This window comes from Homo sapiens, chromosome 7, assembly GCF_000001405.40.
Source record: "Homo sapiens chromosome 7, GRCh38.p14 Primary Assembly".
Lineage (NCBI taxonomy): Eukaryota > Metazoa > Chordata > Mammalia > Primates > Hominidae > Homo > Homo sapiens.
Window position 1 is genome coordinate 66,823,973 of NC_000007.14, and position 21,765 is coordinate 66,845,737.

General features: G+C 50.8%; 1 pseudogene across 1 annotated transcript in view, besides 6 other annotated features; it reads right to left on the reverse strand.

Moving 5' to 3' along the window:
• GTF2IRD1P1 (GTF2I repeat domain containing 1 pseudogene 1) overlaps positions 1-20,914 on the reverse strand; it is a 34,894-nt pseudogene extending 13,980 nt beyond the window's left edge. The window contains exons 1-9 of the transcript NR_003934.2: positions 20,704-20,914; positions 15,925-15,962; positions 15,568-15,657; positions 12,763-12,828; positions 9,013-9,050; positions 8,298-8,508; positions 7,224-7,313; positions 1,324-1,389; positions 26-100 (exon numbers count right to left, since the gene is read on the reverse strand). The product of NR_003934.2 is annotated as a GTF2I repeat domain containing 1 pseudogene 1 (transcript). The remainder of the gene's footprint in view (positions 1-25; positions 101-1,323; positions 1,390-7,223; positions 7,314-8,297; positions 8,509-9,012; positions 9,051-12,762; positions 12,829-15,567; positions 15,658-15,924; positions 15,963-20,703) is intronic.
• Positions 1,784-1,843: a silencer, noted in NCBI's record as "silent region_18216". NCBI's record gives its function as "represses an Ori minimal core promoter by ATAC-STARR-seq in GM12878 lymphoblastoid cells {active_cell/tissue: GM12878}" and the evidence as "EXISTENCE:reporter gene assay evidence [ECO:0000049][PMID:35858748]".
• Positions 8,989-9,550: an enhancer, noted in NCBI's record as "H3K4me1 hESC enhancer chr7:66297948-66298509 (GRCh37/hg19 assembly coordinates)". NCBI's record gives its function as "activates a minimal SCP1, AML or CMV promoter by ChIP-STARR-seq in naive H9 embryonic stem cells {active_cell/tissue: H9 hESC(naive)}" and the evidence as "EXISTENCE:reporter gene assay evidence [ECO:0000049][PMID:30033119]".
• Positions 20,483-20,983: an enhancer, noted in NCBI's record as "NANOG-H3K27ac-H3K4me1 hESC enhancer chr7:66309442-66309942 (GRCh37/hg19 assembly coordinates)". NCBI's record gives its function as "activates a minimal SCP1, AML or CMV promoter by ChIP-STARR-seq in primed H9 embryonic stem cells {active_cell/tissue: H9 hESC(primed)}" and the evidence as "EXISTENCE:reporter gene assay evidence [ECO:0000049][PMID:30033119]".
• Positions 20,508-20,617: a silencer, noted in NCBI's record as "silent region_18217". NCBI's record gives its function as "represses an Ori minimal core promoter by ATAC-STARR-seq in GM12878 lymphoblastoid cells {active_cell/tissue: GM12878}" and the evidence as "EXISTENCE:reporter gene assay evidence [ECO:0000049][PMID:35858748]".
• Positions 20,798-20,917: an enhancer, noted in NCBI's record as "active region_26089". NCBI's record gives its function as "activates an Ori minimal core promoter by ATAC-STARR-seq in GM12878 lymphoblastoid cells {active_cell/tissue: GM12878}" and the evidence as "EXISTENCE:reporter gene assay evidence [ECO:0000049][PMID:35858748]".
• Positions 20,984-21,485: an enhancer, noted in NCBI's record as "NANOG-H3K27ac-H3K4me1 hESC enhancer chr7:66309943-66310444 (GRCh37/hg19 assembly coordinates)". NCBI's record gives its function as "activates a minimal SCP1, AML or CMV promoter by ChIP-STARR-seq in primed H9 embryonic stem cells {active_cell/tissue: H9 hESC(primed)}" and the evidence as "EXISTENCE:reporter gene assay evidence [ECO:0000049][PMID:30033119]".

The window sequence follows — 21,765 nt, forward strand, 5'->3', positions numbered from 1 at the left end:
TCCCATGGACCTAGCTGGGCCTTACCTCTTGATGACAAACTGGATGCTGTTGCTGGCCTCCAGAATCTTCCAGAGCTTGGCGATCCCGAAGCAGTTGGGCCTGCGGAGGGAGATGCCTTCAGACAACCCCACCACAAACAGCTCCTCCGGGTGCATCAGAAACTTGGAGTACGGCATCTTGACTGGTTCCAAGATGCCAATGGCCTTGGCTGCAGAGACATGGCTGCAGAGACATGGCCACCCGGTGCCATGGGGCCAGGAGCCTCAACCCCTGTGTCCCATGCCTGTGTAGGGGGCAAAGCTGCCAGAGCCCTTTTGAGGGCCTGCCAGCCTTCCTGGGAGGTGGAAAGAGTAGCTCCCCAGCCTGCAGGAAAGGAACCTGGAGCTCAGAGGGGACATGACTTGTCTGAGGTCACAGAGCCACTGAACGACAGAGCCAGGGGATAAGAACTCAACCCAGGGTTACCCCAAGGCCCACACTGGGTCCATGCCCTCATGCCCAGGCAGCACAGAAGCCACCGCTAATGGCTGCTGAGATTCGGCATTGCTTCCCCCTGAGTCCCTTCAGCCTCACCCTTCCAGTAAGGCCCCCCGAGTGTTCCTCCTGCCACCATAAGCAACCCCACACGCTGGTGTGGCCCAACACCACACCTTGAAATGAGCCTGATCTCTGCCACTGAGTAGTGTGGGGCCTTGGACGAGTCACACCCTTTACCAAGCCTCAGTTCTCCTCAGCTGTAAAGTGGGTCTTAGGACACGGGGATTTTGTGAGATGGGATACAAGAACACGGGGGCTGGACACGGTGGCTCATGCCTGTCATCCCTGCACTTTGGGAGGCCGAGGTGGTGGATCACTTAAGGTCAGGAGTTCAAGACCAGCCTGGCAACACAGTGAAGCCCTGTCTCTATTAAAAATACAAAAATTAGCCAGGCATGGTGGCGGGTACCTGTAATCCCAGCTACTCGGGAGGGTGAGGCAGGATAATTGCTTGAACCTGGGAGGCAGAGGTTGCAGTGATCCGACACTGTGCCACTGCATTCCAGCCTGGGTGATACAGTGAGACTTGGTGTCAAAAAAAAAAAAAAAAAAAGTGGGGAAGCACCTAGCCCCATGCCCAGCAGCAACCACTGAGGTTATCTTATCTTATTCTTTTTTTTTAAGGAGGGCCCCAGCTCCTCCCTTCCCTTGTCCCTGCCCTTGTCCCTGCCCAGAGAGCAGCTGGGATGGGAGCTGGCAAGGGGATGGGTCCAAAGCCCTTCTGCAAACAGGGCAGCTGGAGGGGGGCTGGGATGCCCCCAGACCCTGTCCCACTTCTTGCTCACCATATCATCTGTTGAAGAGCAGCTCCACCTGCTTCCGCAGGGGCTGGATCACGTCACCTTGACTGTCTGGAAGGCAAAAGGCAGTCTGTTGAGGCTCTTTGGTGGCAGCTTCTAGGCTGATGTTCCTGCTCTGCTGGTACCAAGATTGGCCCTGTGGTGGGATCTTGGAATGGGGGAAGGCTGGGGTGGTGGCGGTGGGCAACTTGAATTTCCTCAGAAATGGCACACGCAGACAGGTCCACAATTCCTGGGCTCACATCCTTGTTTGTGAAATCAAATCTAGGGCATCACCAGCCTGAATGAAGATTTGGAAGGTTCTGTGGACTAGGAGTGACCATGGGTCTTTCTAGGTATGTGACTGAGTATAGTATGTGACTGAGAACTACTGGGTACACACTAAGCCTGCAAATTGAGTACGCCGCCACCAGGTGGCAGTGGAACTGTGTTAAGACTTCATGGTTTCTCCTGCCAGGCTGGTTTTGGGGAAGTGACAGTTCTCTCCTCTGACACTCACTCATTCCATTCCAGGATACTCCAGAGGTAAGACAGACTCACCCTCATGCTGGCCTCCCTCTCTCTCTGTCCTACTTCCATTCTCAGCAGGGAGGGAATTCTCACCTTCCTGAGAATGGGTGTGTCTGCTGGACACAAAGCCAATTTTGTGCTTTCAGGCCTCTATTCTACTTGTTCAGATAGAGGAGGCTCAGTTCCCAGTCTTAAAACCTTTGTGGAAAGCAGCAGGGTGTGTAATAAAAACAAAGCCTTGTAATTTCCCTTAGCAGTGGGAACTGCTCCTAGCTCTGACCAGGTACCTCATGTATACAACACCAACACCCATGCCCTGGAATGAGCCTGATCTCCCACTGAGTGGTGTGGGGCCTTGGATGAGTCACACCCCTTTATCAGGCCTCAGTACTCCTCATCTGTAAAGTAGGTCTTAGGACATGGGGATTTTGTGAGATGGGATACAAGAACATGGGGGGCTGGGCATGGTGGCTCATGCCTATAATCCCTGTACTTTGGGAGGCCGAGGTGGGCGAATCGCTTGAGGTCAGGAGTTCAAGACCAGCCTGGCCAACACGGTGAAGCCCTGTTTCTATTAGACATACAAAAATTAGGCAGGCGTGGTGGCAGGCGCCTGTAATCCCAGCTACTTGGGAAGCTGAGACAGGAGAATCGCCAGAACCTGGGAGGTGGAGGTTGCAGCGAGGTCGTGCCACTGCACTCCAGCCGGGGCAACAGGGTGAGATTCTGTCTAAAAAAAAAACACAGTTGAGAACACGGGACAATTTGTTTAAAATAGTCATCACATGAGTTAGCACATAGAAAAAAACATACAAAGGATAGGTACTAGGAATATTAGTGGTTGCCTTAGGAGGATGTGATTGGAGCTTTCCTTCATGTGTTACATAGTTGTTGGTTTTGTTTTGTTTCAAGAGACAGGGTCTTGCTCTGCTGCCCAGGCTGGAGTGCAGTGGTGCAATCACAGCCCACTGCAGCCTCAACCTCTTGGGCTCAAGCGATTCTCCCACCTCAACCTCCTGGAGAGCTGGGACTATAGGTATGTACCACCACATCCAGTTAATTGTTTTATTTTTTGTAGAGATGGGGTCTTGCTATGCTGCCCAGGCTGATTGTAAACTCCTGGGATCAAGCGATCCACCCACCTCAGTCTCCTCAGTAGCTGGAACTAGAGGCATGCACCACCACGGTTGGCTACTTTTTAAAATTTTTTGTAGAGAAAGGGTTTTGCCATGTTGCCCAAGCTGGTCTCGAACTCCTAGGCTCAAGAGATCGTCCCATGTTGGCCTCCCAAAGTGCTAGGATTACAGACATGAGCCACTGCACCTGCTCAATGTGTTACACAGTTCTATATCATTTAACTGTTTCATATCATACATGTGTAAACAGAAAAAGCATACACATGCAAAATCCTTTAATCCACGGTGGTCCTGGACATCTCAGAATTTTCTTTTTTGTTGTTTTGTTCTTTTTGAAACAGAGTCTCACTCTATCACCCAGGCTGGAGTGCAGTGGTGCAGTCTGAGCTCACTGCTCCCTCTGCCTCCTGGGTTCAAGCGATTCTCCAGCCTCAGCCTCTCGATTACCTGGGATTACAGGCGTGCACCACCAACAGAATTTTCTTTTTCTTTTTTCTAGATGGAGTTTCGCTCTTGTCACCCGGGCTGGAGTGCAATGGTGCGATCTTGGCTCACTGCAACCTCCGCCTCCTGTGTTCAAATGATTCTCCTGCCTCAGCCTCCTAAACAGCTGGGATTACAGGTGCGCACCACCATGCCTGGTTAATTTTGTATTTTTAGTAGAGATGGGGGTTTTGCCATGTTGGCAAGGCTGGTCTCGAACTCCTAACCTCAGGTAATCCACCTACGTCAGCCTCGCAAAGTGCTGGGATTATAGGCATGAGCTACCAAGCCCAGCCAGAATTTTCTTAATTCATCAGGTTTGACTGGGGTGTCTGGGAAGGAGCTCTGCATGGGAAACATGTGTTCCAGCCCAAGGCTGTATGACCTTGGGGAGGTGGCTGAGTCTGAACCTGGCTAAGCCTGTGTTCTGCTCTGTGAAACAAACAGCAGTGGTGCTATGCTCATCCAAGACCCCCAGCCCCTGCAGTGCCACCCAGCCTCTGGCTGTTGAGTGCTGCATGGAGGCTTTCACGGTGTTTTCTTTTTCTTTCTTTTTTTTTTTTTTGAGACGGAGTCTCGCTCTGTTGCCCAGGCTGAGGTGCAGTGGCGCGATCTCGGCTAACTGCAAGCTCCACCTCCCGGGTTCACACCATTCTCCTGCCTCAGCCTCCCAAGTACCTGGGACTACAGGTGCTCGCCTCCACGGCTGGCTAAGTTTTTGTATTTTTAGTAGAGATGGGGTTTCACCGGGTTAGCCAGGATGGTCTCGATCTCCTGACCTCATGATCCGCCCACCTCGTCCTCCCAAAGTGCTGGGATTACAGGTGTGAGCCACCGCGCCTGGCTTCCACGGTGTTTTCTAACGCCGCAGCGAAACCCATCCGTGTGCCACGTCAATTCCTTAGCCGCCATGCCATGCTGTCATCTCAGCCTGAGCTTGGCGTCAACCAAACTCTCTGGATAGCTACACCACAGACTGCTGTCAAGTCTAGTCATGCCCAGTGTGTGCTGGACAAAGCATATTTTTTTCTTCATTACCAAAGTATTAGAAGTGCATCATAACTGATTTAGAAAATAAAAAACACAAATCATTTTGCCTAACACTGCTACTGTTTTGCTATACCGTTGTTCTTCCCCAGTGATTATGTTTGCAACACAGTTGTAAGAAAAGCACAATCAATTTTTCTTCTTTTTCTTAATGTTACATCCTAAGCATCCTTCCTTGTTGCCTATTTTTGTTTGTTTCTTTCTTTGTTTTTGAGATAGAGTTTCACTCTGTTGACCTGGCTGGAGTGCAGTGGCGCGATCTTGGCTGCAAACTCCGCCTCCCAAGGTTCAAGAGGTTTTCCTGCCTCAGTGTCCCAAGTAGCTGGGACTGCAGGTGCCTGCCACCATGCCTAGCTAATGTTTTTGGTCTTTTTAGCAGAGATGGGGTTTCAATAGGTTGGCCAGGCTGATCTTGAACTCCTGGACTCAGGTGATCTGCCCGCTTCGGCCTCCCAAAGTGCTGGGATTACGCAGTCTTCAGTCTTCATGCCCAGCCTATTTTTGTTTTTTTGAGATGGTGTCTTGCTGTGGCTCCCAGACTGGAGTGCAGTGGCACCATCATAGCTGACTGCAGGCTCCAACTCCTGGGCTCAATGGATCCTCCTGCCTCAGCCTCCTGAGTAGATGGGACTAAACATAGGTCCCACCGTGCCTGTCTAATTTTTATCTATCTATGTATCTAGTATCTATCTCTCTATCTGTTAATTTTGAGGCAGAGTTTCACTCTGTCGTCCAGGCTGTAGTGCAATGGCAAAATCTTGGCTCACTGCAACCTCTGCCTCCTGGGTTCAAGTGATTCTCCTGCCTCAGCCTCCTGAGTAGCTGGGATTACAGGCATGTGCCACCACGCCCAGCTAATTTTTGTATTTTTAATAGAGACGGGGTTTCACCATGCTGGCCAGGCTGTTTTTCAACTCCTGACCTCAAGCGATCTGCCCGCCTCAGCCTTCCAAAGTGGTGAATTACAGGTGTGAGCCAATGCGCCTGACCTACTTATTTATTTTAAGACAGGGTCTTGCTCAGTGGCACCATCACAGCTCACCACAGCCTTAACCTCCTGGGCTCAATCAATCCTCCCACCTCAGCCTCCCAAGTAGCTGGGACTACAGATACGGACCATCACGCCCAACTAATTTTTGTACTTTTTGTGGAGATAGGGTTTCACCATGTTGCCCAGGCTAGCCTCAAGCTCCTGGGCTGAAGTGATCCTCCTGCTTTGGCCTCCCAAAGTGTTGAGATTATAGGTGCGAGCCACTGCATCAGCCAATTAAAAAAAATTCTTCAGTAGAGATAGGGACTTGCTATGTTGCTGACTGGTCTTGAACTCCTGGCCTCAAGCAGTCCCCTCGCCTTGGCCTCCCAAAGTGTTGGAATTACAGGCATGAGCCACCTTGCCCTGCCTATTTTACTTATTTGCTTACTGCTTATCTCTCCACACGAGGATGTGTACCCCAGGAGGTGGGGACATCTGTTTGGTCTACTGCTTTTTCCCCAGCCCCTTACACAGGACCTAGTACACAGTAGGTGCTCAATAAATATTTGTTGAGGCAGGGCATGGTGGCTCACGCCTGTAATCCCAGCACTTTGGGAGGCTGAGGCAGGAGGATTATTTGAGGTCAGGAGTTTGAGACCTGTCTGGTCATCATGGTGAAACCCCATGTCTACTAAAAATACAAAAAAATCAGCCAGCTGTGGTGGCGGGCACCTGTAATCCTAGCTACTCAGGAGATTGAGGTAGGAGAACTGGTGGAACCCAGGAGGCGGAGGTTGCAGTGAGCTGAGATTGCGCCACTGCACTCCAGCCTGGGCGACAGAGTGAGGATCCATGTCAAAAAATTTAAGAGATGGGTCTCTGTATGTTCCCCAGGCTGATCTTGAACTCCCTGCCTCAAATAATCCCCTCGCCTTGGCTTCCCAAAGTGTTGGGATTACAAGCATGAGCCACCTTAGCCTGCCTATTTTACTTATTTGCTTACGATCCATCTATCTTTTCACATGAGGATGTGAACTCCAGGAGATGGGGACTTCTGCTTGCTTCACTGCTTCGTCTCCAGCCCCTTACATGGGACCAGGTACACAATAGACGCTCAATAAATAGTTGTTGGATAAATGGACAAATTAATCCCAATAGGTGGCTCCTGGGAAGGATGCTGGGCCTTGTTATAAATGGAGCCTATGGTCGGGCGTAGTGGCTCGGGCCTGCAATCCCAGCACTTTGGGAGGCTGAGGCAGGTGGATCACCTGAGGTCAGGAGGTCGAGACCAGCCTGACTGACATGGCGAAAGCCCCTCTCTACTAAAAATACAAAATTAGCCATGCGTGGTGGCATGTGCCTGTAATCCCAGCTACTCAGGAGGCTGAGGCAGGAGAATCGCTTGAACACAGGAGGCAGAAGGTGCGGTAAGCCGAGATCGTGCCCCTGCACTCCAGCCTGGGCAGCAAGAGTGAAACTCCATCTCAAACAAAAAAAAAATAGGGAAACACACAAAGACGAAATGAAATGCCCAAGGTCTCTAAATAAATAAATAGAGCCTACTTGAGGTTTCCAAAAGGAACCCAGCCTTGGACTGGGGTCAGGCATATATTGGGTTTCCTCTACTAGAGGCGGTCAACACCAAGAAAAGCCTGAGGCCTGCCTGGCCCACCCCTTTCCCTTTGCTCCCTGGGGAGACGGGTCCCAAGAACCACCAGCCCAGCTCCATTTCTTACGTGTCAGCATCTCCATCCCACAATCAGAATCCTCAGATGGCAGGTGCCCAGGCATCGAGTCTGTCATTTCCTCAGAGGTTGGCGAGGGGTCTGAAGACAAAACTCCAAATGACATGGGTGTCTTCTGCCTGTCATACTCCTGTCACAGTCCCTCAGGGACCACCCAGCCCAGTCTCCCCAGAGACAAGGGTCCTTTTCTTTCTCTTTTTTTATTTTTGTTCGAGATGGAGTCTCACTCTGTCGCCCAGGCTGGAGTGCAGTGGTGCCACCTCGGTTCACTGTAACCTCCGCCTCCCAGGTTCAAGCGATTCTCCTGCCTCAGCCTCCTGAGTAGCTGGGATTACAGGCATGAGCCATCATACCTGGCTAATTTTTGTATTTTTAGTAGAGATGGGGTTTCACCATGTTGGCCAGGCTGGTCTCGAACTCTTGACCTCAGGTGATCCGCCCGCCTCAGCCTCCGAAAGTGCTGGGATTATAGGCGTGAGCCACTGCACCTGGCCATTTCTTTTTTTTGAGACAGGGTCTTCCTCTGGTTGCCCAGGCTGCAGTGCAGTGGTGTGATCACAGCTCACTGCAGCCTCCAACTCTTGGGCTCAAGTGATTCTCCTGCCTCAGCCTCCTGAGAAGCTGCACTGACAGTCACACACCACCACATTTGGCTAATGTTTTGTATTTTTTGTAGAGATGGGGGGTCTTTTTATGTTGCCCAGTCTGGTCTTGAACTCCTGGCCTCAAGCAATCCTCCCATGTCAGCCACCCAAAATGCCGGGATTACAAGTATGAGCCACTGCGTCCGGCACCCTCTTGGCTTCTGACAGTCACCCCATACTGAGGCTCCAGTGCCCAAATCTACCCTCTCCTCTGAAGATGTGGAAAATGAGGCTTGGCAGGGGGTAGGGTCCAACTTGGAGCCTCTCAGGCTTATGCCTTTTTCTTCTCTCCAGCCTCACAAATCCCAGGGAAGCCAAGCCAGGGAGGTGATGTTTGAGGGGATCTTCTGGAACGTCAGAGCTAAGAACACTGGTTCACAATGCAGGGGGCAGATGTGGCCAGAGAAAGAATTCACAATACCCAGGTGGGCCTCAGAATCCATGGAGAGAAACAGTGGCCTGGAGGCCTCTTCTTCACCAGGGCAGACCCTCAGGAGGCTTATGTTACGGTCCTCATTTCTGCAGGGGGTGGTCAGATGTCCGTCGCTTACTTGGGACAGTGACCGCAATGATGTCCAGATCCTCTGGCTCAATTTTGATTGGCTTCAGCCAACCCAGCTCCCCGGAGGTTCCTGCAAGGAGGAAAAGAAGGATCTGGTCAAGTCTGGCAAGAGCCTGACCAGGCAGAGTGAGTCTTTCCAGAACATTCTGGTGTCTGTAACTTGTTAGTGAGGACCTACCTAGGACAAGTCATGTCACTCCCCTGGCTTCTGCCCAGACCGGAACTGGAGGTCAGGGGGCCCTCAGGCCAGGCTTAGGGGCTCCAATTTACAGACCCGGTAACTGAGGCCCCCCAGAGGGGAGGCTGCTGGTTCAAGAGCCTGCAGCCTGGGTCTGGGCATTGACAGGAGGCAGTGGTGATGCCAGCACCTAGCTCTCCATGTCCCCACCCCAGTAAGCTCCCAGTATGCCTTGCACCTCGGCGCTGCAAGGCCTGGGAGATGCAGGTGGGCAGAGGAGGCTCATTAGCACTCCAGGCTCATGGGCTGAGTTGAGCTCCTCCTCAAAGCTGCGGGTAGGGCTGGTGATTGCCCTCCCGGCCCATGACACACACAGTGGGCCCTGGTCCTTCTCACCTGGCCCACAGTCTTCAGACATGCCGCCCTTGTCTGACCTATGAAGGGAAGCAGGAAATGACACCTGTCAGCCAAGTCCAGGGCCACCCTGCCCCAGCCTTGCCCCTCCAGGCCGTCGGGGCCCCCCGCGGTTGCCACTGCAGAAGGCATCCCTGCCCTCATCACCCCCTGGCCCTCCAGGATGGTGCTCCCCACCTCCACCAGGGAGAGAGATTCCCCGTGCCCTGTCTCCAGGGACCACAATCTCCAGGGGTGGCCAAGCCAGGCATCTGCTCACTGTCCTGGGGTGAGCATCTGGGGATCCCCCTTCCTCACCATCTGTGAGCTCTGGGGCTCCTGGCTTGGCACAGTAGGGGTGTGATCACTGCTTATGGGGGACTGAGACCTGCAGGGCCTGGAAAGTGTTAAGAATCTGGGGAGGGGGCTGGGGAATGAAGGTGGCAGGAACCCTGAGACAGATGATTTGGTTAATTCCCTCCCTCCCAGAGAACTGCAGGGAGAGGCCTGATATGATGTGGGGATTCTGGGATGAACAGCCCACCTCTGCCTTAAGAGGTCACAATGTGCTTGGGGGGTGTTGGTGGATGGTAGCCAAGCTGACTGCTGGGGGCGGGGTCTGGTGGGCACTCAGGTCAGGCATCGAACCTGGTGTTGGTATGTATGTATGCATGTATGTATATATGTATATGTATATATGCATCCATGTATTTTTTTTTTTTGGGGACAGAATCTTGCTCTGTTGCCCAGGCAGGAGTGCAGTGGCACGATCTTGGCTCACTGCAACCTCCGATTCTGGGGATCAAGCGATTCTCCTGCCTCAACCTCCTGAGTGGCTGGGACTACAGGCATGCGCCATCATACCCAGCTAATTATTTTTGTATTTTTAGTAGAGACGGGGTTTCGTCATGTTGGCCAGGTTGGTTTCGAATTCCTGACCTCAGGTGATCTGCGTGCCTCAGCCTCCCAAAGTGCTGGGATTACAGGCGTGAGCCATCGTGCCCGGCCACATGTTTGTATTTTTGAGACAAGGTCTTACTCTGTTGTCCAGGCTGGAGTGCAGTAGTGCGATCACAGCTCACTGCAGCCTTGACCTCCCAGGCTCAAGCAATCCTCCCACCTCAGCCTCCCAAGTAGCTGGGATCACAGGTAGCAGCCACCACGCCCAGCTAACTTTTTATGTTTTGTAGAGACAAGGGTCTCACTGTGTTGCCTAGGCTGGTCTCAAACTCCAGGGGTCAAGAGATCCACCCACCTTGGCCTCCCAAAGTGCTGGGATTACAGGAATGAGCCACCAAGCCCAGCCTGGTGTGGGCATGTATTTATTTTGAGACAGAGTCTCGCTCTGTCACCCACCCAGGCTGGAGTGCAGTGGCACAATCTCAGCTCACTGCAACCTCTGCCTCTTGGGTTCAAGCGATTCTCCTGCCTCAGCCACCTGAGAAGCTGGGATTACAGGTGCCTGCCACCATGCCCAGCTAATTTTTTATATTTTTAGTAGAGATGGGGTTTCACCATGTTGGTCAGGCTGGTCTCAAACTCCTGAACTCAGGTGATCCACCCACCTCAAACTCCCAAAGGGCTGGCATTACAGGTATAAGCCACCGTGCCTGGCCTTTATTTTCATTTAATGAGAACCTCAGCCAGGCGCAGTGGCTCAGTCCTGTTATCCCAGCCTTTTGGGAGGCCGAGGCAGGAGGATCACTTGAGGCCACGAGTTCAAGACCAACCTGGACAACACAGTGAGACCTCTGTCTCTGTTAAAAAAAAAAAATAGAGACAATCACATTGAGGGCATACAGGAAATGGAACTAAGATATATTTTGGCTTTGTAAATCAGTGTTTTCACATGCTGGTTTTGTTAGATTTATTTTTCCACCAGTGAAAACATTTTTTGAACACAAATTTCTTTTCCAACTAAACAATTTGTAAGTAAAGTTCATTCAAATGTGTGTTGAAACATTTAATGTTTGTCTTCTGAAGTTTATCTTTATGTACATCAAGATATTGGTTGTCTTGTTTTAAATGTATCATTGGATATCACACATTATATTAGTTGTTTAATAAGGGTAATGCCCATCTAGGAATGAATAGTTTTTTTAAATCAAAAACAAGAAGACAAATGACAAACTCCATGTGGCAGATAAAAGGTTAATGAGCTTCACATATAAAGAACTTCTTCAAATAAGTAAAGAAAAAAACATTTAGGCCAGGCGCGGAGGCTCATGCCTGTAATCCCAGCACTTCGGGAGGCCGAGGTGGGCGGATCATGAGGGCAGGATATCAAGACCATCCTGGCTAACACGGTGAAACCCTGTCTCTACTAAAAATACATAAAATTAGCCAGGCGTGGTGGCAGGCACCTGTAGTCCCAGCTACTCAGGAAACTGAGGCAAGAGAATGGCGTGAACCCAGGAGGCAGAGCTTGCGGTGAGCCGAGATCGTGCCACTGCACTACAGCCTGGGCGACAGAGTGAGACTCCATCTCAAGAAAAAAAAGAAGAAGAAACATTTAAAACATTAAATAATGCACCAAGGACATGAATGAACAATTCACCATTTAGACATACAAAGGGCCAACAAGGGATGACAAATATTCATCTTCATTAGTAATAAATGTCACTTGAAATTTGTCAAGTTGTCAAAAATGAAAAATTTAGTTTTGGGGTTATTTTTGGAAATCAGGTCTCACTATGTTGCCCAGGCTGGTCTCAAACTCCTGAGCTCAAACAATACTCCCACCTTGGCCTCCCAAAGTGCTGGGATTATAGATGTGAGCCACCACACATGGCCAAGATAAAAATTTAGGATTGCATTTTTGCATTTTATGCCTATGAGCGTACAGAAAGATGTACCTCCCTGAGAAGCAAAAATTGTAACATTTCCAGAGAGCAACTCAGTACAGTGTGTCATGAGCCTTAAAAACCTTTTTAGGCTGGGAGCAGTGGTGGCTCATGCCTGTAATCCCAGCACTTTGGGAGGCTGAGGCAGGAGGACCACTTGAGCTCAGGAGTTCAAGACCAGCCTGGGCAATATAGCAAGACCTCATCTCTACAACACCAACACCCACACCTTGGAATGAGCCTGATCTCTGCCACTGAGTGGGGTGGGGCCTTGGATGAGTCACACTCCTTTACGAGGCCTCAGTGCTCCTCACCTGTAAAGTGGGTCTTAGGACATGGGGATTTTGTGAGGTGGGATAGAAGAATACAGGGGGCTGGGCACGGTGGCTCATGCCTGTCATCCCTGCACTTTGGGAGGCAGAGGTGGGAGGATCGCTTAAGGTCAGGAGTTCAAGACCAGCCTGGCCGACATGGTGAAGCCCTGTCTCTATTAAACATACAAAAATTAGCCGGGTGTGGTGGCAAGCGCCTGCAATCCCAGCTACTCGGGAGGGTGAGGCAGGAGAATCACTGGAACCTGGGAGGCGGAGGTTGCAGTGAGCCGACATTGTGCTACTGCACTCCAGTCTGGGCCACAGAGTCAGACTCTGTCTAAAAAAAACAAAACAAAACAAAACAAAAAAACACGGGGAAGCACCTAGCCTCATGCCTGGCACACCACTAAGGTTATCTTATCTTATTCTCTTTTTTTAAAGGAGGGTCCCAGCTCCTCCCTTCCCTCCCTCCCTTGTCCCTGCCCAGAGAGCAGCTGGGATGGGAGCTGGCAAGGGGATGGGTCCAAAGCCCTTCTGCAAACAGGGCCACTGGAGGGGGCTGGGATGCCCCCAACCCTGTCCCACTTCTTGCTCACCGTATCTTGTGTTGAAGAGCAGCTCCACCTGCTTCCACAGGGGCCGGATCACGTCACCTTGACTGTCTGGAAGGCAAAAGGCAGTCTGTTGAGGCTCTTTGGTGGCAGCTTCTCGGCTGATGTTCCTGCTCTGCTGGTACCAAGATTGGCCTTGTGGTGGGATCTTGGAATGGGGGAAGGCTGGGGCTGGGGTGGTGGCAGTGGGCAACTTATTTCCTCAGAAATGGCACACGCAGACAGGTCCACAATTCCTGTGAGCCAGACAGTGCTCACATTCCTGTTAGTGAAATCAAATCTAGGGCATCACCAGCCTGAATGAAGATTTGGAAGGTTCTGTGGACTACGAGTGACCATGCATCTTTCTAGGTATGTGACTGAGTATAGTATGTGACTGAGAACTACTGGGTACACACTAAGCCTGCAAATTGAGCACACCGCCACCAGGTGGCAGTGGAACTGTGTTAAGACTTCATGGTTCCTCCTGCCGGGCTGGGTTTGGGAAGTGACAATTCTGTCCTCTGACACTCACTCATTCTATTCCAGGATACTCCAGAGGTGAAACAGACCCACCCTCACGCTGGCCTCCCTCTCTCTCTGTCCTACTTCCACTCTCAGCAGGGAGGGAATTCTCACGTTCCTGAGAATGGGTGTGTCTGCTGGACACAAAGCCAATTTTGTGCTTTCAGGCCTCTATTCTACTTGTTCAGATAGAGGAGGCTCAGTTCCCAGTCTTAAAACCTTTGTGGAAAGCAGCAAACAAAGTCTTGTAATTTCCCTTAGCAGTGGGAACCGCTTGCAGCTCTGACCAGGTACCTCCTGGTTCTAGAAGACATGTCCTTAAATCTCCTCCCACCTCAGGCAGCCCACAGGACTCCCACCCCCAAACCAGGGTGCTGGAGAGAGATGGGATGGAGAGAAGGAAGAGACCCAGAGGCCAAGGGTAGGTGGAGGGCAGGGGAGGAGACATGGGGTGGCGGTGGGCGTAAAACGTGGGGGATAGACAGTGCCTCACCCTCCACGGGCCTCTCCTCAGGCCGTGGGTCCTCACTCAGGCCTTTGTCTAAAAGAGAACAGAGGATGCCGGGAAGCCATGTTCATCATCTCCTAAGCCTTGCACTGCTGACGTCAGACCAGATAGCTGGGGAATGGAGGGCCAGGGGACCCCAACTCTGAAGCACGGCACCCACTCCAATGGGATCAGGGATCCAGATTCCATACAGGTGCCCACCCTGGCCTTCACACAGAAGCAGGCTGAGATCATTTTGCATGTACCTCCCAAGCTAGTCTGTTGTAGACACCGAGGACACATGGGAACAAGACAAAGTCCTCGGCCAGGCACGGTGGCTCATACTTGTCATCCCAGCACTTTGGGAGGCTGAGGCAGGAGGATCATTAGAGGTCAGGAGTTCGAGACCTGCCTGGTCATCATGGTGAAACCACATGTCTACTAAAAATACAAAAAAATTAGCCAGGCATGGTGGTGGGCACCTGTAATCCCAGCTACTCAGGAGGTTGAGGCAGGAGAACTGCTTGAACCCAGGAGGTGGAGGTTGCAGTGAGCTGAGATTGCGCCACTGCACTCCAGCCTGGGCGACAGAGTGAGGATCCATGTCAAAAAATTTAAGAGATGGGTCTCTGTATGTTGCCCAGGCTGATCTTGAACTCCCGGCCTCAAATAATCCCCTCGCCTTGGTTTCCCAAAGTGCTAGGATTACAAGCATGAGCCACCTTAACTTGCCTATTTTACTTATTTGCTTACTATCCATCTATCTCTTCACATGAGGATGTGAACTCCAGGAGGTGGGGACTTCAGGTTCACTGCTTTGTCTCCAGCCCCTTATATGGGACCAGGTACACAATAGATGCTCAATAAATAGTTGTTGGATAAATGGACAAATTAATCCCAATAGGTGGCTCCTGGGAAGGATGCTGAGCCTTGTTATAAATGGAGCCTACAGTCGTGTGTGGTGGCTCACACCTGCAATCCCAGCACTTTGGGAGGCTGAGGCAGGTGGATCACCTGAGGTCAGGAGGTCGAGATCAGCCTGAACAACATGGCGAAAGCCCGTCTATACGAAAACTAAAAAATTAGCCAGGCGTGATGGCGTGTGCCAGTAATCCCAGCTACTTAGGAGACTGAGGCAGGAGAATCGCTTGAACCAGGGAGGCACAGGTTGTGGTGAGCCAAGATCGCACCACTGCACTCCAACCTGGGCAACGAGAGTGAAACTCTGTCTCAAAATGTGTGTGTGTATATATATATGTGTGTGTATGTGTATATATATATATACGTATATATATGTATATATATGTATATATATGTATATATGTATATATATGTATATATATGTATATATATGTGTGTGTGTATATATATACGTATATATATGTATATATGTGTGTGTATATATGTGTATATATGTGTGTATATATGTGTGTATATATAATGTGTGTATATATATGTGTGTATATATATGTGTATGTATATATATGGGTATATATATGTGTGTGTATATATATGGGTACATATCTATATATCTATATATCTATATCTATATCTATATATAAACACACAAAGATGACGTGAAATGCCCAAGGTCTCTAAATAAATAAATAGAGCCTACTTGCCTACTTGAGGTTTCCAAAAGGAACCCAGCCTTGGATTGGGGTCAGGCATATATTGGATTACATCTACTAGAGCCGGTCAACACCAAGAAAAGCCTGAGGCCTGTCTGGCCCACCCCTTTCCCTTTGCTCCCTGGGGAGATGAGTCCCAAGCACCACCAGCCCAGCTCCATTTCTTACCTGTCAGCATCTCCATCCCACAATCAGAATCCTCCGATGGCAGGTGCCCAGCCATTGAGTCTGTCATTTCCTCAGAGGTTGGTGACGGGTCTGAAGACAAAACTCCAAATGACATGGGTGTCTTCTGCCTGTTGTACTCCTGTCACAGTCCCTCAGGGACCACCCAGCCCAGTCTCCCCACAGACAAGGGTCCTTTTCTTTCCCTTTTTTTTTTTTCATTTGAGATGGAGTCTCACTCTATTGCCCAGAGGAGGCTCATTAGCACTCCACTCTCATAGGCTGAGTTGAGCTCCTCCCCAAGGCTGGTGGTTGCCCTCCCTGCCCACGATACACACAGCGGGCCCTGTTCCTTCTCACCTGGCCCGCAGTCTTCACACATGCTGCCCTTGTCTGACCTGTGAAGGGAAGCAGCAAATGACACCTGTCAGCCAAGTCCAGGGCCACCCTGCCCCAGCCTTGCCCCTCCAGGCGGTCGGGGCCCACCGCGGTCGCCACAGCAGAAGGCATCCCTGTCCCCATCAGTCCCTGGCCCTCCAGGATGGTGCTCCCCACCTCCACCAGGGAGACAGATTCCCTGTGCTTTATCTCCAGGGACCACAATCTCCAGGGGTGGCCAAGCCAGGCACCTGCTCACTGTCCTGGGGTGAACCATCTGGGGATCCCCCTTCCTCACCATCTGTGAGCTCTGGGGCTCCTGGCTTGGCACAGTAGGGGTTTGATCACTGCTTGTGGGGGACTGAGACCTGCAGGGCCTGGAAAGTGTTAAGAATCTGGGGAGGGGGCTGGGGAATGAAGGTGGCAGGAACCCTGGGACAGATGATTTGGTTAATTCCCACCCACCCAGGGAGCTGCAGGGAGAGGCCTGATATGATGTGGGGATTCTGGGATAAACAGCCCACCTCTGCCCCTAAGAGGTCAGAACACATGCTTGGGGGGTGTTGGTGGATGGTAACCAAGCTGACTGCTGGGGGCAAGGTCTGGTGGGCACTCGGGACAGGCATCGAACCTGGTGTTGGTATGTGTTTACGCATGTAAGTGTATATATATATGCATTCATGTTTTTTTGTGTGTGTGTGGCACAATCTTGGCTCAATGCAACCTCTGCTCCGGGGTTCAAGCGATTCTCCTGCCTCAACCTCCTGAGTGGCTGGGACTGCAGGCATATGCCACCATACCCGGCTAATTATTTTTGTATTTTTAGTAGAGACGGGCTTTCGTCATGTTGGCCAGGTTGGTTTCAAACTCCTGACCTCAGGTGATCTGCGTGCCTCAGCCTCCCAAAGTGTTGGGATTACAGGCGTGAGCCATCGTGCCTGGCCACGTTTGTATTTTTGAGACAAGGTCTTAATCTGTTGTCCAGGCTGGAGTGCAGTGGTGCGATCATAGCTCACTGCAGCCTTGACCTCCCAGGCTCAAGCAATCCTCCCACCTCAGCCTCCTGAGTAGCTGGGACCACAGGTACCAGCCACCATGCCCAGCTAACTTTTTATGTTTTGTATAGACAAGGGTCTCACTATGTTGCCCAGGCTGGTCTCAAACTCCAGGGGTCAAGAGATCCACCCACCTCACCTTCCCAAAGTGCTGGGATTACAGGAATGAGCCACCAAGCCCAGCCTCGTGTGGGCGTGTATTTATTTTGAGACAGAGTCTCGCTCTGTCACCCACCCAGGCTGTAGTGCAGTGGCACAATCTCAGCTCACTGCAACCTCTGCCTCCTGGGTTCAAGCGATTCTCCTGCCTCAGCCTCCCGAGTAGCTGGGATTACAGGTGCCTGCCACCACGCCCAGCTAATTTTTTGTATTTTTAGTAGAGACGGTGTTTCACCATGTTGGTCAGGCTGGTCTCAAACTCCTGAACTCAGGTGATCCACCCACCTCAGACTCCCAAAGGGCTGGGATTACAGGTATAAGCCACTGCACCTGGCCTTTATTTTCATTTAATGAGAACCTCAGCCAGGCGCAGTGGCTCAGCCCTGTTATCCCAGCCTTTTGGGAGGCCAAGGCAGGAGGATCACTTGAGGCCAGGAGTTCAAGACCAATCTGAACAACATAGTGAGACCTTGGTCTCTGTTAAAAAAAAAAAAAAAATAGAGACGACCTCATTGAGGGCATACAGGAAATAAAACTAAGATATATTTTGGCTTTGTAAATCAGTGTTTTCACATACGGAATCGGCTGAACCTGGTAGGTGGAGGTTGGAGCGAAGTTGTGCTACTGCACTCCAGCCTGGGCAACAGGGTGAGATTCCGTCTCAAAAAAACAAACAAAAAAAATCCAGGTGAGAACACAGGACAATTTGTTTAAAATAGTCATCACATGAGTTAGCACATAGAAAAAAACATACAAAGGGTAGATACTAGGAATACTAGTGGTTGCCTGAGGAAGATGTGATTGCAGCTTTCCTTCATGTGTTACATAGTTTTTGGTATGTTTTGTTTTAAGAGACAGGGTCTTGCTCTGTTGCCCAGTGCAGTGGTGCAATCACAGCCCACTGCAGCCTCAACCTCTTGGGCTCAAGCAATTCTCCCGAATAGCTGGGACTACAGGTATATACCACCAAATCCAGTTAATTGTTTTATTTTTTGTAGAGATGGGGTCTTGCTATGCTGCCCAGGCTGGTTGTAAACTCCTGGGATCAAGCGATCCACCTGCCTCAGTCTCCTCAGTAGCTGGAACTAGAGGCGTGCACCACCACGGCTGGCTACTTTTTAAAATTTTTTGTAGAGAAAGGGTTTCGCCATGTTGCCCAAGCTGGTCTCGAATTCCTGGGCTCGAGTGATCCTCCCACATTGGCCTCCCAAAGTGCTAGGATTACAGACATGAGCCACTGCACCTGCTCCATGTGTTACACAGTTCTCTATCATTTAACTGTTTCATATCATACATGTGTAAACAGAAAAAGCACACACATGCAAAATCCTCTAATGTTTGCATTTTCTGTAGAGATGGAGTCTCACTATGTTGCCCAGGCTGATCTTAAACTGCTGGACTCAAGTGATCTGCCCACCTCGGCCTCCCAAAGTGTTGGGATTACAGGTATGAGCCACTGTGCCTGGCCCTAAGTATTTATTTTAAGCCACTAGGTCTGGAGTAATTTGTTACATAGCAGCAGATAAATAATACACATATTTTCTATAGTGATCACATTTATAATTCAAATTGAGTTTAAAAGGCTGGGAGCAGTGGCTCATGCCTGTAATCCTAGCACTTTAGGAGCTGTGTCATCTTTGGAAAGGTACTTGAACTCTCTGTGCCTTAGAATCCGTTTTCTAAAATGTGGGCGGGGCACAGTGGCTCATGCCTGTAATCCCAGCACTTTGGGAGGCCGAGTCGGGTGGATCATCTGAGGTCAGGAGTTCAAGACCAGCCTGGTCAACAAAGTGAAACCTGGTCTCTAGTAAAAACACAAAAATTAGCTGGGTGTGGTAGTGGGCACCTGTAATCCCAGCTACTGGGGAGGCTGAGGTTGGAGAATTGCTTGAACCCAGGAGGCAGAGGTTGCAGTGAGCCATGATCACGCCACTGCACTCCAGCCTGGATGACAGAGCAAGAATCTGTCTCGAAAACAAACAACAAAAAAGTGGATAGCAGCATCTACCTGGAAGAATTGTTGTGGGATCAACAGTGCAGAGAATCTAGCAAGTATAAAAGAAAAAAAAGTATCAGGACCCTCTATAAATTTATCATGCCAAGAGGGAAGTTACACCCTGACCGAGTCACATAGCATGTTTGTAACTTCTGCTTCTTAAATTATAATTTATTCCTTCCTTATTATTTTCATTCTGCAAATGACTATGAGAGACCAGAGACTAGTCGTCCTCTCCTTACAATCACTTATCTTTGTTACAGATTAACTGCCTCCTTTATTGTTCTGTACCTAACTCACACCAGATGGCACAAAAGACCCCATGACTTACATCTTCAGTGTAGAAGGTAAAATACACCTTTCCCGGAAAAAAGACCACCTCGTCTGGGTGCAGTCGCTCATGCCTGTAATCCCAGTACTTTGGGAGGCCGAAGTGAGAGGACTGCTTATGCCCAGGAATTTGAGACTGGCCTGGGCAATGTGGTGAAACCCTGTCTCTACAAAAAATACAAAAATTAGTCAGGTGTGTTGGTGCACGCCTGTAGTCCCAGCTCCTAGGGATGCCCAGGTGGGAGGATCGCTTGAGCCAGGGAGGCTGAGGCTGTAATGAGTTGCGATTGCACTACTGCACTCCAGCCTGGGTGACAGAGTGAAAGAAAGACCACCTGGACCAATCAGATTGTTTTAACTATGTATTAAGCCTTAAACGGAGAGATGCTGAAATTCTGCTAAGCTTCCCTAAACTTTGTCTATGCAAGTGATCCCAAACTTCTAAGCCTTGGAACACTGTCTTCCACTCTTGGGTATCTGTGCTTCCCAGGTGGCCCTCCTTAAACTCTGCATGAATAAACTCCCTTTAGATTCTGACCCTGTTGATTATTTGAGGTTGACACACTGTGCAATATACATCAGAATACCAATTTTTTTTTTTTTTAGACGGAGTCTCTCTCTCTGTCGCCCAGGCTGGAGTGCAGTGGCGCGATCTCGCCTCACTGCAACCTCCGCCTCCCGGGTTCAAGCAATTCTCTGCCTCTGCCTCAGTCTCCCAAGTAGCTGGTATTACAGGTGCCCGCTACCACGCCAGGCTAATTTTTGTATTTTTGGTAGAGACGGGGTTTCACCATGCTAGCCAGGATGGTCTTGAATTCCTGACCTCGTGATCCACCCGCCTCGGCCTCCCAAAGTGCTGGATTACAGGCGTGAACCACTGCGCCCGGCCCGATCGCTTATATTTTTAAAAAGATGTTTTCTGCGTTTCCTAGCCCCTTGTACCCCCGCTACAAAGTTCCAAAGGCTTTAATGTTGTTGCAACGGCCATCAGCTGTCAAGATGGGGGGTTCAGCTCCCTAAAGCGGGGCAGCCTCAGAGGGAGCCGAGCCTGCCCAGGATGAGCGGCGCCGGGCGGCGGGGGACGCTGCGGGGTCCCCGGTCCCTGGCTGGAGGAGGTGTTGGGGGGCGCACGTACCCAGCCTCAGGTGAGGCGAGTGTGCGGCAACGGCTGCAGCCGGAGCTAGCCGGCTTGCAGTGGCCATTAAGGAGCTTCTGCCCGACCTTCTGTTTGTGCCCGCCAGGCGACAACCGCTTGGTGTGCAGCGCCTGCTCGCTCAGCGTCAGGCCCTTGCTGCGCCCTACGCTGCAGGCTGGGAAGTCGCGCCGGTAGTAGTAGCACAGGCAGTGGGAAAGCTCCTCCTTGTAGCTTACTGGTGTTGGCCGCCGGGTCGGAGCCTGCGAACACTGACCGGCCGGCTGTGGCCACGCGTCTGCGCATGCGCGCTTCTGGACGACCCGGCAGCCGCTCCTCGAGTTCCGATTGGTTCCACATGAGGGGCGTGGCTCTCTGTCGTCACTGGGGAGCGCCTTCGCTGACGTCACAGGCGCGGGCCCTCGGCGACGCAATAGCGCCAGGCCTTCCGCGTCGTCAGAGTGACGGTACAGTGCCTGGAGCTGGGCTGTTTTGTCTTCAGAGTGGTGCCTGGTAACCGCGACTTCCCCGCCATGTTCTGTGTGTTGCTGGCTGGAGAAGGGTGGTTGACAAACTCTGACCCAGCACGGTGTTTCTGTGGGTCAAAACTAGAAAACTATATCCGGGCGCCGAGGTGAAAGGATCCCTTCAGGCCAGGAGTTAAAGAGCAGCCTAGGCAACGTGGCGCGACCCCATCTCTGTAGTCCCACCTCAGCTTCCCAGATACTTGAACCCCAAAGTTCAAGGCTGCAGTGAGCTATGATCCCATCACAGCACTCCAGCCTGCGAGACTGAGGTAAACCCTGTCTAAAAAAGTAAAAAAACTATCCAAGTGTGCAACAGGGAGGGACTGCTTAAAGAAAACAGAATTGTATGTTCAAATACTTTTAACAAGTGCAAAATGTATAGGCTGAAATAAATAGAGCTGGCCGAGCGCGTTTGCTCACGCCTGTAATGCCAACATTTTCGGTGCCCTAGGCAGGCCATCACTTGAAGTCAGGAACTCGAGGCCAGCCTGGCCAACATGGTGAAACCCCATGTCTACTAAAAATATAAAAATTAGGCCGGGCACCTTGCATCGTTTCAGGGGGCTGACACCTCCCTAAGGGCCCGGTAATTGAATCCCTCGGATTTGAGAGTGAGAAACCTTG